Source organism: Homo sapiens, chromosome X, assembly GCF_000001405.40.
Source record: "Homo sapiens chromosome X, GRCh38.p14 Primary Assembly".
Taxonomy (NCBI): Eukaryota; Metazoa; Chordata; class Mammalia; order Primates; family Hominidae; genus Homo; species Homo sapiens.
In genome coordinates this window covers 11723528-11743614 of record NC_000023.11, presented here as the reverse complement: position 1 = coordinate 11743614, position 20087 = coordinate 11723528, and the positions used below count along the sequence as shown (strand labels likewise).

Here is a 20087-nt window from a genome sequence, read left to right as displayed (position 1 = left end):
CCACAGCTAACAATGAGAAAATATGGTCAAACATGTCACATCAGTTCACTGTGTTTGCTAAATCCTTGGATTGTGGCTAACCTAAGTCTCTTGTCTTATAAACATACCTAACATCCTTTGGACCTGCTCATTGAGATTGATAGATTAGATGTGATAACTATGTAGTTCTCTGTATTTAATCTCATGTGCCATTTTTTTCCTTGTTTATATCCCAAAGGAAAAAATACAAATAATACTGGATTAATTTTATAAACAGAAAGCTACTAGATTCCCTATAAAGACAATGTCTCTGACCAGATGGATTTGTGCTATCAAACTTACTTTTTTGGAAAACTTTTGAAATTTTCATCCAATATTGTTTAAAAAACAATTTTAGTCCAGGCGCAGTGGCTCATGCCTGTAATCCTAGCACTTTGGGAGGCCGAGGCGGGCGGATCACGAGGTCAGGAGATCAAGACGATCCTGGCTAACATGGTGAAACACCATCTCTACTAAAAATACAAAAAATTAGCCAGGCGTGGTGGTGGGCGCCTGTAGTCCCAGCTACTCCGGAGGCTGAGGCAGGAGAATGGCATGAACCCAGGAGGCGGAGCTTGCAGTGACCCAAGATCGCGCCACTGCACTCCAGCCTGGGCGACAGAGCGAGACTCTGTCTCAAAAACAAAAACAAAAAACAAAACAAAAACAACAACAACAACAAAAGATTTTAAAGGATTGTAATAAACTGATGTGGTAAAATAGTGCTTGGGACAAGCCAGGCATTCTTTTCTCACTGTTTAAACTGTATCATTTCAACTAGACCTAAATATTAATTCACTTTTATTAGCTTAATAACATTTTCCAGGCAGTTTTTAAATGAGTACTGGTTATTTTGCAAATAGGTCTCTTACAGACGTGAGACCAAAAGACATCCCCAAAAGAGCATGAAAGCAGCAAAATTGTATATTCTGTTTTTCATGTTCTTTCATAAGTGAGGATGATAAAGCTTTTAGAATAAAATACATGTATCTTCAACTTGTATACTAATTTAAATTATATGCTGTTTACATTCAGTTTATATCATATCAATGTTGTTTATACTAGATTTTAAGTTCTAGGGGGCAAAAAGTGTGGCTAATAAGTTACTGAATTATTTAATAAATTATTCTAGAAGATACATGAATATAGTGGGATTTCTCATGGATTTAGGGATAAGAATTAAAATAAAATAAATCTAAAACCCATGGCATGGCTTTGTCCTCCTAATGACCCTTCCTACAGCCTTGAGAGCATGTCACTGCTTTGACTCTCATTTTCCATATGAAAACTAAAGACAGCCGTGCATGTCACCCTCCAAACTACTAGTACTCACCAGTCTTTTAAGGACTTTACATCCTATTCCTTTCATACTATTTTTATAATTTGGAGACAAAAGCCCAGATCCTGCTGGATAATGAAACTATTTCCCAGAAAGTTATGTTAGTAGATGTGTTCTAAATTTCACCTAGTGACTTTATTTCACGCAGTAAGCAATAGAGGGGCTTTAAAAAAAATCACAACAGCTTATTAGGATAACCCACTAGAATATAGGGGTCTCTAAACTGATTTGAATCTTTAAGGCCATCTGAACTAACTGCACCTTTGAGCAAGCAGTATAACCTTTTTTAAAAAAGGGATGCTGTCTCTCCTCTTTCAACCCAATAACCTCCTCATATTCTTCAGAGGAGTGAAGCATGCATTCCATTAAAACTCCTTTCACCAAGACCTTGGTGCTAACCCAAGTAACAATTGGGTTTTCTATCTTGCTTTTCTTGGCCCTCTGGCAGCATTTACTCAGGCGCTAACTCTCGCCCTTCTGGAAACACTCCACTACCTTTGTCTCTGTTTCCCTATCTTTCCCATTGTTACTACAAGCTCTTGAGCCACTCTCTGTTTCCTTTGTACATGCCCTTCCTTTATATGCTGATAATAGTTAGGGCTTTCTTCTAGGCCTTCTTTTCTCTCACCCTAGATCAGAAGTTCTTTTTAATTTGTTTCATAAACATTTTTTGTTGGTATAATATGCTCAGTTGATAAAACTTCCAAAGATACAAAGGGTGTCAAGTGAAGAGTCTCCTTTGTATTCTGTTGACCCTCAGACACCCCATTTCTCTTTTTAAGGGAATCTCTGTTATGGATTTCTTGTGTATCCTTGCAGAGATATTTTATGTATACACACACATAGACACACACAAGATACTGTATAATACTACATACATACTGAGTCTTGCTTTTACTGTTTAATAATGTATCACGTAGATTGTTGCATATATGTATATATAGAGCTACATCTTTTGTGTGCATGTAGATGTAGAGTGTGTCTACATATGGATGTATTATAATTTATTTAACCAGCCCTCTTAGAGTTTAATGCAGGAAGTAGAAATTCACTTGCTTTCTGGTATGTAAATGAAAGGAATTAGGTGAGATGAAGTAATCGAAAGGGAAGAAAAAGTGGAAATAATGGGGTTGCCCCCGAATTACTGGTTTCAAAGTTATACAACCATAGCTGTCATCCAGAGATTCAGAAGTTGCTATCACCATGGCCACAAATGGCGTTGTCTCACCACCAAATGGCTGGTGAGTAGACCCTGGAAGATGGAAACCAACAGCCACATACATTCATACCTGTCTGACTTTGTATGCAGCCTGCATAATATCACAGAGATGGCCTTTGTCTTACTTTTAGTCTGGATGCTTTTCAACTTGGAGTCACTTTCTTGTTGTATAAGATAAACTCATGGCAGAACCTAAATAAAACAGAAAGAAGAGTGGAAAAGGATATCAAAGCCTGATTGAACAACACTGTCTAGCCATTTGGATTATTCACCATAAATATCTATCCTTCCACCTATCTTTAAATTGCAACAATATGGTCACACCTTATATTATATATTACCTTCTACAGTGAAAATATATTCATCCTCTCTCCATAAAGGGGAACCTATTCTATTAGTTGCAGAATCAAACTCTGAGTGATTTTAATTACTTTTTAAAATTAGTCACAATTGAAATTTTATGTCTTGTAACACAATGACTAAACTATAACTAAACACTATACTAATTTAGTATAAACTAAATTATACTTGTAACACCTTTATGTAAAATAAAGGTGAAGGAGAAAATGGAGAAATGAAATTTGGTTACTATATAAAGGTATATACACAAAATGGCAAGGAAACAATGTATGTAGCTACTATATTCCTTGATTTCACAACTACTCATGAGGTTTTTCTTGGTGAAATTTCTTTCTTCATTTAGCATTCTGTTTTTCCTTTGCCCTTGAATAGTATTTCAGCTGGATAGGGTTATTTATATGGTAGGACAATACAAACTAGTATGGTGTTGTTATCACTGTCATCAAACACAAACAGGTTAGATAACTAATTTTAGTTTTCCATCTTGGTGCCAAATACTGTTTTATTTAGGATTATGTGCAGTAAACACTCTAGGCATTTTAAGTAGAAAGAGTTTTAACACAGAAAATTAGGTGCTTGGAAACTCATTGGGAGCAATTTAGGGGATTGCCCATGGGCTAATGATTTAAAAGTCACATCATTCTCATGCTTTCTGGTATATTTTTGAAAAGACAAAAGTCATACCATAACTGCTGTGATTACAAAGTCAGAGAACTGTGACTGATGCTGTCACGACACTCCCACAGCTGAATCTCATGCTCATGAAGCTAGTGAGTACATGTTGGAATGTGGAGTCCAGCTGCTGCAAATGCTCATCTCTGCCTCATTTTCCTTTTCAGACTCCAAAGCATCAGGAAAATGTCTCATCACTACATTTCATGAAAATGCAGCTCATCGATGAAATCTAAATCATGTCACAAATCCTAGCTGCATCAGTCTGATAAATGTAGTTTTTAGTCTTCTAAAATATTGAAACCATTGTAGATATAGAGTAGGAACAAAGAAGGGAGAAGAAAGTGCTAGCACACTTATGATGACAGATATTGGCGTAGCTTGCTATCTTTTGTTTTTACACCCAATTTCATGAGAAATATCTTAGAACACACACCATTTCCCACATATGTGAGAATAAAAGTAGGAAAAATTCATAGAAATGGTATTGATGGTTGAAGAGAGACTTTTATTTAAAAATTTATTAAATATTTACAAATTACTAGAGCTTATAACACAGAGTGTGGTCTGTTCTGTGGACCAGCAGTACTGGCCTCACCTGGGAGTTTGTTAGAAATGCAAAATCTCGGGCCAGGTGTGGTGACTTATGCTTGTAATCCCAGCACTTTGGCAAGGGGAGGTGGGCAGATCGTTTGAGCCCAGGAGTTCGAGAACACCTTGGGCAACATGGCAAAAACCCATCTCTACAAGAAATATAAACCAGGTGTGGTGGCATGCACCTGTGGTTCCAGCTACGAGGGAGGATGAGGTGGGAGGATCACTTGAGCTCAGGAGGTCAAGGCTGCAGTGAACTGTGATCATGCTACTGCACTCCAAACTGGACAACACAGTGAGACTCTATCTCAAAAACAAATGCAAAATCTCAGGCCCCTCCCCCGACCAGCTGAACCAGAATTTGCATTTTAACAAGATTCCCAGGTAATCTGTGTGCACATTTCAGTTTGATGAACACTGGGCTAGAGGTGGTACATACTGCATTCCCAGTAGCAGCATATGTATGGAATTTTTCCTCTACTATCACTAAGACTGTGCTCAGTTGTCTTCATATTTTTCAAATTAATATTTGAAAATGGCATTTCTCTTGGCCAGGCATGGTGGCTCACGCCTGTAATCCCAGCATTTTGGGAGGCAGAGATGGATGGACCACATGAGGCAAGGAGTTCAATACCAGTCTGGCCAACATGGCGAAATCCTGTCTCTACTAAAAATACAAAAAAAAAAAAAAAAAAAAAAAAAAAAGCTTTGCATGGTGGTGTGCACCTGTAATCCCAGCTGCTGGGGTGGCTGAGGCATGAGAATCTTGAATCCCGGAGGCAGAGGTTGCAGTGAGTCATAATGGTGCCACTGCACTTCAGCCTGGGTGACACAGCAAGACCCTGTCTCAAAAAGGAAAAAAAGAAAAGAAAAAAAAAAAAGAAACTGGCATTTTATGAAATTGAGCATCTTTTCAAGATTCAAAAAAGTTTTTGTATCAATTTCTGTGAACTTGCTCTTCGCATTTATTCAGTTAGTCTGTTGGTCTTTTTCTTATCAATTTAAGAATGTTTTACTGTTAAGAAAGCCCTTCGGCTTTGGTATGAGTTGCAAAGTGTTTCTCATTTTGTTATTTCCCTTCTAATTTTGTTTATGATTTTATTTCCATGCAGAATACAAACACACACAGACACACACACATTCCTGTGTGGTTGAATTTTTTAATATTTCCTTTCATGTGTTAGAGATTTTTGTCTTATGCTTAGAAACGCCTCTATCACACACAAGATTTTTTAAACTCTTCCATGTTTTCTTTGATAATGATCCAATCCTTGAGCCATTGGAATGTATTTTGGTGAGAGCTATGAGGTAAGGATCCAACTGAATAGTTATCCTAGATAACTATACATCAAGAGTTCTTAACCTCGCATTCATGAATGCCTAGAGAATACTTAAGCCGCTAAAATTGCATGTGAAATTGTGTCTGAATTTGCATTTTTCTGAAGCAAAGATCATTAGGGTTCATTCAGTTTTCCTCAAAGATTAAGAACCATTGCTCTATGTAGTGTCCCATCATCCAATATGGCTTCAGTTGTTTTCCGTATCTTTATTACTCCCAAGTGTCCAGTCAGAGCCTTCTCTTGACCTCCCTACTTGGGCATACCAAAGTGGATGAGTCCAATGTAATCACAAGGACCCTTATAAGAGTGAGGCAAGAAAGTCAATAAACAAAGGAGATGGAATGACAGCAGCAGAAATTGGAGTGATGCACTTTGAAGATGGAAGAAGGAACCAGAGCAAAAAACTGCCTTGATTTTATCCCATTAAAACTCATATTAGACTTTTGAGCTCCAGAACTGCAAGAGAATAAACGTGTATTATTTTAAGCCACTAAACTTTTGGTAGTTTGCTATAGCAAATAAGAAACTAATACATGGTATAACATAGAGAAGGCAGCAACAGTCTAGCCTCAGGAATTTAATAAATTTACTGGTCTCATTATAACTGCTGGCATCATGAGTCAGCCCAATACAATATCCAAGCCCATCTCAGTGGAATATATTTCTATAAAGTTTTATAAAGTAAACAAATAGACACAATCTACTTACAGACAAGCCCACATCTATTACCTTACAACTGCATCTCATTGCAAGTGACCGGAGCATCATTGAAACTGGTGGAAGGAACCAGCATGCCATATTGGCCCTTGGGTCCCATCTAGCAATTTTACCATCTTCATCTTTTAGACATCAGCATCTTTTGACATACACCACCTTTCTGCAAACACTGAAAAAGTTCTAGCAGTGTGTTAGTTCTCAAATAAGGAAAAAAATGAAAGGAAATATTCTAAGACAAAAGGGAAAAGGGGCAGCTAGGCATGCCCAAGGGTAAGGAAACCTAAGGCATTAGAGAACCATAACCAAGTTTCACTTGGGCAGGGGGTGGGGAGATTAAGAAGGGAGAGAAACACTAGTCAAAGCAGGTTTGAATTTAGTCAACCATCTCCTGAAAGTGGGCACCTAGTATAGCTTAGCTCCATGTCATCTGACTATCATCCTTCTAAAGCCTACCCTAAAATAGCGTAGCTGTGACAATATGGTCAAACAACCCAACTGCAGCAAGGCAGAACTCTGCAACCAGGGTAAGCTTGTAACTCCGGCCTGTAGCTGCTCAGGGGAATCTGCAGAGGTGAAAATGACAGGCTCACTAAAGGCTATAGGAAAGGAGAATCTTTGAGGGAACAGTTGGTACTGGAGATAGTGCCCCTTGCCCCCAGTCCTCTGCTCTTTCATGCCAGAGAGGCGCTGTCATTCTCTAACCACAGTCAGGGAAAGCGTTTTGTAGAAGGTATTGATGGATAGATAAAATGAGCCAAGCCAAGTGTTTGGTGAGTTGCAAATACGAACAGACATTGTTAGAGGGATGCTGAACAGTTCAGAATAACTGAGAACAGTCATTACCTCTGTGGAGAAGCCTCAGAGTGGGTACAGGAGGCAAGAATATCAAAGATGAATTAATGAAGCTGTATGGGTGACTATCTTACAAATGAGAATGCATTCATGTAGTCATCATGTAATTAAACATAAATTTGCAAAGAAAGCACTTGTACTTTAGAAACTGAATGTTAATGAGCTAAAGGCCAAGAAACAGAACTCTAGCATTCATGAATCAAACAAAAGAAAGCAAATGTCTTTACATAGACTTTCATAATCAGCCTGAATGTGGATTAGCAAGGAAAAGAGAACCATATGACATCCAGGTAATGAAAGAAGAGAATCTGGAGCTGAATGAAGGCATATGGTGAATTTCTAGGGGAAGAAATTGTGTTAGTCATCTATGTTCCTCTGGTCTAGTGCAGTGCTGTTTCCTTGTAGCTGTACATGTCCCCAGGTGTCTGTTGACTGCCTGACTAAAGGGGCAGATGGCACAATCCCATCCACATTTAGCTACATTCTCACACATTCCTGATGGAAAGGGCTGTGTAAACACTACTTGGCCTTTTATAGTCGTCGTGAACCCTGTATGCCTACTACTATTTGGACATAGTTTACCCATTCACTTCCTAGACCAGACTCAGGATTCTCAATAAATCTTGTTTCTTTCATAAAAACCCACCTTCCAAGAATCACATTCAGTGATCCTGCCCCCAACCCCAGTGAAAGCATATGGGGAATCTAAAAAACAATGATTACAAGTAAGGCTTAGCCAAATAACTCAGAGGATCAATCAATACAGAAAAATGAGAAAGCATTTTGTACATGGTAACACTCTAAGCAAATGTGATCAGTAATTACAATCGTTCAGTCTCCTGTGGTTTGTCAGTGCCCTTTGCGGCTGGGTCTGAGTTGCTGAACTGCTCCTGGTAGGGCCAGTCTTTGTAACTGGCTCAGTTGTTCCCCACAGTCCTCCATTTCTGGTGTCCTTAAGCAGGTCTTGCTCCTTTCTCTTTGGTGGTGTCGATGGACACAAACTGGTCCATTATCTTTTTTATAGGATGCCTTTCCTCACCAATGTTGCCAATATACAAGAAGGTAGGGGAACTGAGGTCCCAAACAGCATATTGTGATCCTAAGTTTATTTAAATGGATGGAATTGAAAAATGACAAAATGCCCAATGAGTAAAAATTCTACCATTAATTTTATTTTTGCGAAGAATTAAAGTGCCCTATCAAAATGCACAGTTACTTGAGAATTATAAATAAATCATAGTCACTGATCAACCATTAGCTGGAATTGGCTCGTCACATTTTCTGTGCAGTTACTTAGCATGGCATTGAGACAGTGAGGTAATAAATACATAAGCATTGATAGTGAGAAGTAGAAAAGGAGTGTCCAGAACAAGAATGGCAAATCCATGGCATACATGCTTTGCTCGTTCACTTCCTACACCCATGGCAAACATCAGACTTTTACCAGCCTCTCCAGACAGAGCCTCAGAATCCTGTTCAACACAATGCTCTAGGAAACCACTGTGAATTGAACTTTGTGTTGGCAAAGGAGGTAAAAAACTTTTGGTCTTTTCTGGCCTAAAATATAAGATAGAATGTTAGAGAGTACCATAGGAGGATATAAGAGTACCATAGTAGAGGAAGGCAGGCAGGGGCATCAGGAAGAGGCTAAGCTGCTGGGGAACGTGGTGTTACAAAGGGACACAGTATAGTGACACAACTGGGTCATTATCTTTCCATATTCACGGAGTTGAACAGCAGTACTTCTCAAAATTTAGTGCACATAGGAATCATCTGGGGTTCTTGTTGAAGTGCCGATTCTGATTTAGTAGATCTTAGGTGGGGGTCAGGACTCTGCAATTCTAACAAGCACATAGATGCTGTTCAAGTTGCTGGTCCAAAGATTATATCTCGAGTAGTGAGGATGGAGTTGCTTAATGTGGATTAAAACTCATGTCTTGGGCACAGGACCCTGGGTACTTTCCCTATGCTGTAGAGGAGGGAAACTGGAGTCGAAGTCAGAACTCCCAAGTTCAAATTGGAGTCTGCCACTTATCTTGTGACCAAAGTCTTCAAGACCCATTTCTTTTATCTGTAAAATGGGAACAAAACATATACCTTATGTGATGCTGATGAAGATCAAATAGATATTTTAAAGGACTCAATAAATATTAATTAACTCTGAATAAGCCACAGTCAGTGAAGACACAGAAGCTCTGGCTACACACTCCCAAATAATCCAGAAGAAAAATTTTATCAGCCTTCCAGGTGGCTGTCAACATGAAGCCAAACATACAAATATTTGGAATGCATGCAAAACATATTCAACAAGCACCTTTCTCCCTTTCCGATGGGTGTTTTGGCCTCAAGAAGACAAAGAGTGAGGGGCTTTATGTAGAAAGATGCTCTCTATCTAACTTCACTGTCTTCTTTGTATACTTTGGAGCTGCTTACAGATGCATTGGAAAATGATAATTCATACAACATGGATAATCTCAATTTTCAGAAAGCCTTTGATACTGTTCCATACAATGGGCTGCTTAAACCCAAGACAGCAGGGATTCTTGATGGAAGCCTGAGAAAAAGGAGAAATTGGCTAGAGAACAAAACAAAAAGTTGAGACTGAAACAGAATGGAAAATAGAAGATGAGGTTACTTTCAAAGAGCAGGGGAGGAAGTCTAGATGTTGCAATTGCGACTGTCACATAGGTTGGTATACAGGGTGAGCAATGAGAGAAACAGTGATTACAGCTGTGGCTCAACCATGCATGAGCATCAAGCTTGACAGTGACATGCACTTTATAGGACAATATCTTAACATTATAAGGGCTACATATTAATTAGGCTAGACAGACTGTTAAGGCACTTGAAATGATGTGAAAACAGGTCCCACTTAAGAATCAAAATATCCAGCTACAGCATGACACTTTTAGTAGAAATTTTATATTTTTCATTAATTATACTCATTGTAACCCTGGGAAAATAAGAGATCCACATTCTTCTAAATCAGTGGTTCTCAACTGATGGTTGTTTTGTGCCCCTGTCCCCAGGACATTTGGCAATATCTGGAGACATTTTTGGTTGTCACAGTGGAGCTGGGGATGCTCCTGGCATCTAGTAGGGAATGCTCAACATTCTACAGTACACAGGACAATCCTCCACACACGAGAGTCATCCAGCCCCAAGTGTCATCAGTGCCAAGATTAAGAAACCCTAGTTTAAACTATTGTACCCTAATGTGTGCACAGGAGAGGCAAATTCATAAGGTAAGAATTTTGTACAAAAAACATTTTAAAAATAGCTGCCATTTGTGGAATAAAGTATTCATTTTCACCAAACTATAATATGCTGTTCTAAAACTAGAAACAGGAGCAAGGAGGAGGGGCTGAAGAGAACAGAGAAATCTGTGGAGAAAAAGAGATACAGGAGAGAACAGAAAACAAAAACATCTAACCTCTGCCGGGACTTCCATGCTCTGTACAACCCACTTTCTTTGTGAGTCTTCTGCCCAATTCACTTCAAATGATTGGTCTGGAGTTTGCTTCAGATGGTACACAGATGTTTGAATCTACTCATGCCAGCTAGTCTTCCAGACATCATTTTGTTTTAGAGAAAAAAGCAGGTCTAATGAGAGAATATGGAAAGTAGTTAGAAAAAAGAATTTTACAACTTTTAAAAAATGTATGAAGTTGCTTCGATTTCTGACTCATAAATTATAGAAGAAGGTAATTCCTCTAATTGGTACATTAAAAATCAAAACAGTCCAGATTTCCATAACCGCTTTCTCTTACTAGGCGAAGATGCAGCCCTGATGGAGGGGACGAAACGGTTTCAGTGGACCTGCAGAGGAACCCACACCCTGCTAGTAACTCTACCTCTTGTGATGTCACAGTTATAGTCACTACCTTCAGAAATTTTGTCTTCTATTATGGTATGAGTATTCTCTGCAAGTTTCCTCAAGTAACTTATTCAGTTAACTCTTTTAAATAGATCATGTGGACGATGAACCAGAATAGAACGCAGCTAGGGGGTTCAGAAGTGGGAACAAAGAAATCTCTCTGAAAACGCTTCCTTAATTTACATTTTCTTCAAAAGTCAAAACTATTTGTAGGAAGGCAGGGCCCTGAATCATTCAAAATTTCCTCTAATTTAATTCAATGGAAAAGAAAACACAGCTGTGACATGTTCTTGGCTATCAATGGCATTGATTGACCTTTGGCTGAGTCCATTTAGGAGATGGTAACATACATCCCAGGAACCTAACCTGGTATCCTAAAATGAAAGGGTTCCTCAGGACAAGGTTGAATTATAAATGATTACATGATTGGACATCAGCACCCTGCAAAACAGCCAGAGCTGAGGACCACAGAAGCAATGGGAATAGAACTCTACCGTCAAGCCTATTTATCCACAAAGATACACAGATGGTATTGCCTTGAGTTTCAACACCATTGTCATCATTTTTGGTTGGATTCCTTACCATCATTAATTGATAGAACTCCGTGGATTAATTGATTTTTTTCTTTTTAAATTAGGTTTAATTTTTAAAATTAAAAAAATTGTATATATTTTTGTGTACCACATGTTTTGAAGTAGGTATACTTTGTGAAATGGCTCAATAGGGCTAATTCACATATGTATTGCCTCACATACTTATCAGTGAGAACACTGAAAATCTACTCTTCTAATGATTTTCAAAATACAGTATGTTCTTTTTAACCATAGTCACCATGCTGTACCATAGATCTCTTGAACTTATTCCTCCTATCTAACTGAAATTTTTTATCCTTTGACCAACAACTTCCCAACCCTCCATCTCCCCAGCCCCTGGTAACTACCATTTTACTCTCTACTTTTATGAGTTCAACTTTTTTAGATTCCACATATGAATGAGATCAGACAGTATTTGTTTTTCTGTGCCTGGCTTATTTCACTTAACATAATGTCCTCCAGATTTATCTATGTTGTTTTGAATAACAGGATTTCTCCTCTTTTTTAAGGCTAAATAGTTTTCCATCCTGCATTTGAACCACATTTTCTTTCTCATTTTTTTTGTTTGTTTGTTTTTGTTTTTTGAGACAGAGTCACTCTGTTGCCCAGGCTTGAGTGCAGTAGTGCAATCTGGACTCACTGCAACCTCTGCCTCCTGGGTTCAAGCAATCCTCCTGCCTCAGCCTCCCAAGTAGCTGGGACTACAGGTGCACACCACCACGCCCGGCTAATTTTTGTATTTTTGTAGAAATGGGGTTTCACTCTGTTGGCCAGGCTGACCTCAAGTGACCTCAGAGGCTGCTTCAGCCTCCCAAAGTGCTGGGATTACACGTGTGAGCCACCATGCCTGGCCTGGACCATATTTTCTTTATCAATTCATCCAATGATGGAAACTTAGGTTGGTTCCATATAAGCTACTGTGAATAATACTGAAATAAATATGGGAGTGCAGATATCTCTTGGATATAGTAATTTTGTTTCCTTTGGATGTATACCCCAAAGTGGGATTGTTGGATCATGTGGTAGTTCTATTTTTAATTTTTAAAGGAACTTTCATACTATTTTCTGTAATAACTATGCCAATTACATTACCACCAACAGTGTGCAAGGGTTCCCTTTAAAGTTTCCATATCCTTTCCAACTTTATATCATTTTTTTTGTTAGTAGTCATTCTAACATGTGAAGTGATATCCCACTGTGGTTTTAATTTATGCAATGATTAGTGATGTTAAGCATTTTTTCATACACCTGTTGGTCATTTGTATGTCTTCTTTTGAGAAATGTCTATTCAGGTCCTTTGTCCATGTTTTAATCAGGTTATTTGTTTTCTTGCTGTTGAATTGTGTTGAGTTCCTTACCTTTTTTTTATATTAACCCCTTATCAGATGTATAGTTTGCAAATATTTTCTCCCATTCTGTAGATTGTCTTTTCATTCTGTTGATTGTTTCCTTTGTTGTAGAGAAGTTTTTTAGTTTGACGAAAAGTTTGCTTTTTGCTTTGGTTTGTGATACGTGTATGTACACATAAATATACACATATGCATACACACTGACATAACCTTAACAGCTGAATTTGAGCATTGTTTTCATTCCCTTGTACATATTTTGTTTTACAGTTTGTTATGGTGTTAGTGAATTTAAAGGTCCATATTTGACATGTCAGGGCCAGGTATACTTCTCTTTACTCTTTACCTATGGATCCTAGCTCATCATTGAAAAAAATCATATATTTAGTCACAAGGAGGAAGGAGCAAGAAGACAATGATGAATCAGTACCACCAGTTATCCTCCAATGAGCCCTTGGTGAAAGGGGTCAGTGAAAGCATCTCTGTACATAAACAGGAGCATCTTAAATATCTTTAATATACCAAAAATAGTTCTCAAAGGAAATATATGCTTAGCACAAGTTTATACCATCCACTGAGCAGCTAAGAATCTATTTAGGTGCTCATTTGTTTTTCAAATATTTCATGTAGTTCATTCAATATGATAGAAGTGAGTAATTGTGGTGCTTTAAGCATAAAGATGGTCCCTCACTGGTGCTCCAAACATTAGTGGTCTGTTCAGAAATTCATTTTGCATATGCACAAACTTTGGGGCCATTTTCAATCACTGTTAAGACTCAATTTTTCCCCATTTACTTCAGAATGATTAAGGGGGTAATGAGTAGTATTGATGACATGGAAACTTCACAAATTGAATCCACTCAGTTTGCATATGTTGATTATCATATTACATTTTAGCCATACCTCATCATCACCATAAAACATAATTTAAATTTTAGGATATGGAGACAGAAGTTAACTTTCTACATATAAGGGACTGACTCATGACTTAGCATCGACCAGCCAAAATACATGTAGAATACATAGAGAAAACACACGAAAATAAAGAAGAATTACTGATTTCAAGCAGCTTAAAAAGAAATATTAAATATTTATCTTATACATTGTTCTTTACCCACAATAGGCATTTTAAAAATATGCTGTTGGCACTATCCCTTATAAATTCTTTTGAAGTTTCTGTGCATGTTCTATGAAGAAAAAATAACAGGTATCTACACCTGTATCATCCTGTATGTCATGTGATCTTAGAGAAAATCAAATTGAGTCCAAATTACCAAGCACCTACCATGTGTGAAGTTCTGACCTTGGAGGGGACACAAGGCTTCTAAGGAATAGTCTTTTCCCTCAAAGAAACTACATTCATAATGGTGGGGAGAGGACATAAACTTGAAAAAGTTAAATGGCAATAAAATGTTTTACTTATATCCCAGGACATCGATAGAAGACATGTCATCAGCGACAAGTACAGCCAATACTTCCATGCTAGACAGAATAATCGCCCCCCAAAATGTCCACATCCTAGTCACCAGAAACTCTTAATATGTTACCCTACATATAAAAGGGAGTTTGAAAGCATGATTAATTTAAGGATCATGAAATGAGGGGGTTATCCTGGATTATCTTGGTACCAAGGCCCAGTGTAATCATAAAGGTTTTAATAAAATGGAAGCAGGACAGTCTGAGGCAAAGGAGATGTAAGGATGAAAGCAGATTAGAGGAAGGCGGGGCCATGAAACAAGGAACTCAGGCAGCCTCTAGAATCTGGAAGGGGCAAGAAAACAAGTCATCCTCTAGAGCCTCCAGAAGGAACAAAGTCCTGCTGACCTATTTTGGACTTCCAACCTCTGAAACTAAAATAATAAATTTGTGTTGTGTTAAGCCACTGAGTTTGTGGTAATTTGTTACAGCTGCCAAAGGAAGCAAGTACACTTGCTATTATAATCTACTTCATTTCAGTGGGCCCCAAAGTCCACAGCTGTCAAAGGGGAGTCATGAGACTAAATCAATATTCCAACATCCCAAATTATACACTTGACTCATGCAACAGCTAAATACACTGTCTTTGGAGACGAGGGTAGGAGAGGAAAAGCAGCAGAAGTGCAAAGGAGAGGAGACGGAAGGTGCTGGAGAGTTTGTCTCTCTGGGCCTATACTGGTTGATTTGCAAAGCACAGAGCAAAGACAGTATGTTTTCCAGGTCTCACCCTCCTGTATAGGGTGAAGTATAAAAGAAACCAGACCAATACTGCCCAAAGCAATCTACATATTCAGTGCTATCCCTATCAAACTACCAATGTCATTTTTCACAGAATTAGAAAAAAGTATTCTAAAATTCATATGGAACCAAAAAAAGAGCCTGAATAGCCAAAACAATCCTAAGCAAAAAGAACAAAGCTGGAGGCATCACATTACCCGACTTCAAGCCATACTACAAGGCTACAGTAACCAAAACAGCCTGGTACTGGTACAAAAACAGACACATAGACCAATGGAACAGAATAGAGAACCCAGAAATAAAGTCACATACCTACAACCATCTGATCTTCAGCAAACTTGACAAAAATAGGCAATGGGGAAAGGACTCCATATTCCATAAATGATGCTGGGATAGCTAACTAACAATATGTGAAAGAATAAAACTGGACCCATACCTTTCTCCATATACAAAAATTAAGTCAAGATGGGTTACAGATTTAAATGTAAGACCTCAAACTATAAGAATCCTAGAAGAAAACCTGGGAAATACCATTCTGGACATCCACCTTGGGAAATAATTTGTAACTGAATCCTCAGAAGCAATTTCAACAAAAACAAAAATTAACAAGTGGGATCTAATTAAAATAAAGAGCTTCTGCACAGGAAAAGAAACTGTCAACAGGGTAACCAGACAACCTACAGAATGGGAGAAAATATTTGGTTAACTATGCATCCGACAAAGATCTAATATTCAGAATCTATAAGGAACTTAAATAATTCAATAGGCAGAAAACAAATAACCCCTCTAAAAGGTGGGCAACAGACATGAACAGACACTTCTCAAAAGAAGACATGCAAGCGGCCAATAAACATACAAAAAATGCTCAACGTCACTAATCATCAGGAAAATGCAAATGAAAACCACAGTGGGATACCACCTCACACCAGTCAGAATGGCTATTATTAAAAAGTCAAAAAACAACAGATGCTGGTGAGATTGTAGAGAAAAGAGAGCATTTATACACTGTTGGTGGGAATGTAAATTAGTTCAGCCACTGTGGAAAGCAGTCAGGAGATTTCTCAAAGAACTTAAAGCAGAACTACCATTTGACCCAGCAATCCCATTACTAGGTATCTACCCAAAAGAAAACAAATGGTTCTACTCGAAGACACATGCCCTCACATATTCACCACAGCACTATTCACAATAGCAAACACATGGAATCAACCTAGATGCCCATCAACAATGGACTGGATAAAGAAAATGTGGTACATATGCACCATGGAATACTACATAGCCATAAAAAGGAATGAAATCATGTCCTTTGCAGCAACATGGATACAGCTGGAGGCCATCATCCTAAGTGAATTAACACAGGAACAGAAAACCAAATACTGCATGTTCTCACTTACAAGTGGAAGCTGAACATTGGGTACTCATGGACATAAAGATGGCAACAAACACTGAGAACTACTAGAGGGGGAATGGAGGGAGGGTGTCATGTGTTGAAAAACTACCTATTGGGTGCTATGCTCAGTACCTGGTTGACAGGATCATTCATACCCTAAACCTCAGCATCATCCAATATACCAATGTAATAAACCTGCACATGTACTCTCTGTCTCTAAAATAAGAAGTTGTATTTTTTTTTTTTTTTATAAAAAAAAGACCAGGCCAAGGAGAATTGCAGCTCAGGGCTACCAAAGCCATTAATTACTAGTTCGATCCTCAATGATAAACAAAGGATTTTACTGGTTTCAATTTTACCCAAACTCATGTCCCCATTATCAGCTAATATTAAGATATTATGGCATAGAGACTGTGGGTGGGATGTAGGCAGTCAGGGAAGACAGGATCAAAGTAGAGATGCTAATCCAGGAACAACCGCACAGTAAGAGCAGCCAATTTCTCCCTGTGAGTCAAGTGCTTTTCCTGCTGAAATCCGCAAGGACAAGATAGATTGTCATTATCCCAGGCTCCATAAAAACAAAACATAAGAAAGTCACTTAAGAGTGAGAAACCACTTGGTGTTCAAAGAAATTTAATTTGTTTTTATTGCTCTTTATTTTTATTTTTAATTGCTCTCCCAGGAATGGCTAAATGACATGGACTTTTCATTTCTTAAAGATCTCAGGGGGCTCTAACTTCAAGACAAGATGATAAAAAAAACCTCTATGTATATATGAAAGGCCAGATACCGAAGTAGCAATGGAGGATCCAAATATAGCCTGATGACTACAATAGGATACCTCAAATATCACTTGATACAGTGACAGTTCTCACTAGGGAAACTGGTCATGATGGGAACTTAGTGCGAGATGGCAGGGAACATACAAAGAAAACAAATCAAACCCAAAAGATAGAAAGAGAGAGGAGTTAAGACAAATAAAAATGATTTATTCAAGACCATTGTGTGAGAGAGGAACACTTTAAGAATTGGAGAGGTTCTGAGGTATCATCTTTAGTGCCAAGATCAGCGCTGCACTCTGAGGTCTCTTATGTGCCTCTCAGTTACAGTAATTATAGTGGCTAACAAGAGTCAGTCCCTGTGCTAAGTCTTTCCTGCATTTGTTGTCACAATCTCCTTGTGTAAGGTTGGTTGACAGATGAAAAAACCAACTCTTCAGTTATTTACTCGGGGTCCCAGGTTTTAAGTGACGTAATCATGATCAAACCAAAATCTCTTTGATTCCAAAGTCCACGTTTTCATGCACTCTACAATACTAAAATCGAGTTTACACATGCCTAGAAGAAAATGTCCTGGACATATTTTGGGCTTTAGCCTTTGGATTATTACCTCTCTCCATCCCTTTAGCTGTAATTCCTACTAATTGTATGTTGGAGTTTACCGTTTATCTGTCTTGTTTTTTAACTTCTCTTTAGCAACTTCCACGTCTTTTGCCTTCTGCACTATAGTTTGGCCTGTTCTTTAGAGCCTTCTCTAAATTCATAGTTCTCTGCTGAGCTGTGTTTACCCTACTGTTTAATTCATTTATTGACTCCTTCCTTTTAATGGTCAAATCAGACTCTATTATCTATAGTTCCTTGTTATTGCTCATGGTATTTGATTTCCTCAAATGCTTTGTAAATTTTGTCTGCAACCCTATATTTAGAACAAACTGTATTCTATAGGGCTCCTTTACTCAGCCTATTAGCTTTTGTGGTCATTTGCCAAGGCTCTACAGGCTTCAAAGTTTCTAGACCAGAAGGTACACTAGTCCCACAGCCCCACACTTCTCGAGTATATGGAAATGCAAACAGGAGATACTCAGCACAAATACCCACTATGTATCCTTCACAATATTCCTGAAGGAAAGCGGTTTATATAGGCTAGGCCAGGTGTCTGCACACTATGGACTGCGAAACATCTCCCACCTGCTGCCTGTTTTTGCAAGGCCTGCAAAGATGAGAATGGTTTTTGAATTTTTAAATGAGTGAAAAATACAAATAATGTTTTGTGACATGTGAAAAAGATGCAAAATTTAAATTTCAGTGTTAATAAATATTTATAGGGACACACCATGCCCATTTGTGTACATATTGTCTGTGGCTACCCTTATCCTACAAAAGCAGAGTCAAGCAACTGCAACAGAGACCATATGGCCCACAAAGCCTAAAATATTTACTATCTGGCCCTTTGCAGAAAGCGCTTGCTGGGCTAGGTCATCTAATTGAAATCGTCTCTGTTTGAAAGTGAAAGTACAGTCCACAGCTGTGTGTCAAAGTGTTCTGCCTATATGAAGAAAAACTTAGAGCGTATAAAATAAAAAAGAAAGACTGTGATTGCCAATCCCTTAAGACACCAAGGAAACTTTTTTTTAATTTCCCCAGTTTTACACTTGCCCATAATTTCTTCAGTGAAACATGCCATTCTCTACTGTGGCCACCAGATGGAGACTCCAATAACGGCCTAATGGTACATCAAAATTTACTTACCAAGATACCCTACGCATAATTTTAAAACAACACTTTGAGAACAGTGTGAATAGAGAGATCAACTAAATCATGTCAAACTAATAATAGGCTTGGTAAGGAAACAGTCTGGAGCCCAATAGCTTTTGGGGAGGTGGGAGCACCCCTGGAGTTAGTCTATGCTTGATCTTATCAATGGTCTCAAACTGTAATGTACAAAGAATCACCTAGAATACTTGCTAAAAAGGCAGACTCTCAAGCCACGCTGTTAGACAGTCTGAGTCAGCAAAAATGAACATGCATTTTTTTTAAAAGCAACCCTACATTTGATTCTGATGTAGGTGATCTAATGACCGCAGATATAAAGGTACTGATTTCAGGAGATTTCTTCTCTGTAGGCCTGAATAAACAGGTGGCTGATTGTGCAAATTACAAGATCCAATGAGTGCAAGGGCATTTGGCACCACTGCTTGGGCAGGGGTTCAAACTTGTGGTCAGGGGTGGAGAAAGCTCTCTCTCCAATTTCAGCACCCAGGGAGAAAGTCAGAAAGGATTGTCAAGGCCCCATTCAAATGGAATGGCCCTCAGGCAGAGCTCCTAATGGGGTGCTATGACTAGAACATAACTTGAGGAGATGCTGGAGGGACTGAGGACCTCCGTGTGAAGAGGTCCAAGTGTAGAGGCAGCAAGAGCCATGCTAGACCCACCTGATGCCAGACTTAGGTCCGCTTAGGTGAGGTGGGCGAGGCTGACCTGGTAGCCTGAATGTTGAAGTTTCTGTAGCTCTTTAAGAAGAGGAAGTCAGGGAAGACATGTCCTAGTGGTCTTTTTTCTTTTATGATCTTCTTGTGGAGCCCTTGTCTTAATTCACTGATTTAAAGCATTACATCATCTGGCAGTCACACCTGTAGTCCCAGCACTTTGGGAGGCCGAGGGGGGCAGATCTCTTGTGCCCAGGGGTTCGAGACCAGGCTGGGCAACATGGCAAATTCCCATCTCTACAAAAATAAAAAAATAAATAAGTAAATAATAAAGCAGTACATCCATTCTGA

The 20087-nt window shown here is 38.6% G+C and overlaps 1 long non-coding RNA gene across 1 annotated transcript; it reads right to left on the bottom strand.

Moving 5' to 3' along the window:
* Positions 1-8261: 8261 nt before the first annotated feature.
* Positions 8262-10926, bottom strand: LOC105373131 (uncharacterized). The gene is made up of 3 exons (XR_950513.3): positions 10882-10926; positions 10545-10714; positions 8262-9182 (listed from the first exon to the last, which is right to left on the bottom strand). It is a non-coding gene; the product is annotated as an uncharacterized LOC105373131 (long non-coding RNA).
* Positions 10927-20087: the final 9161 nt, after the last annotated feature.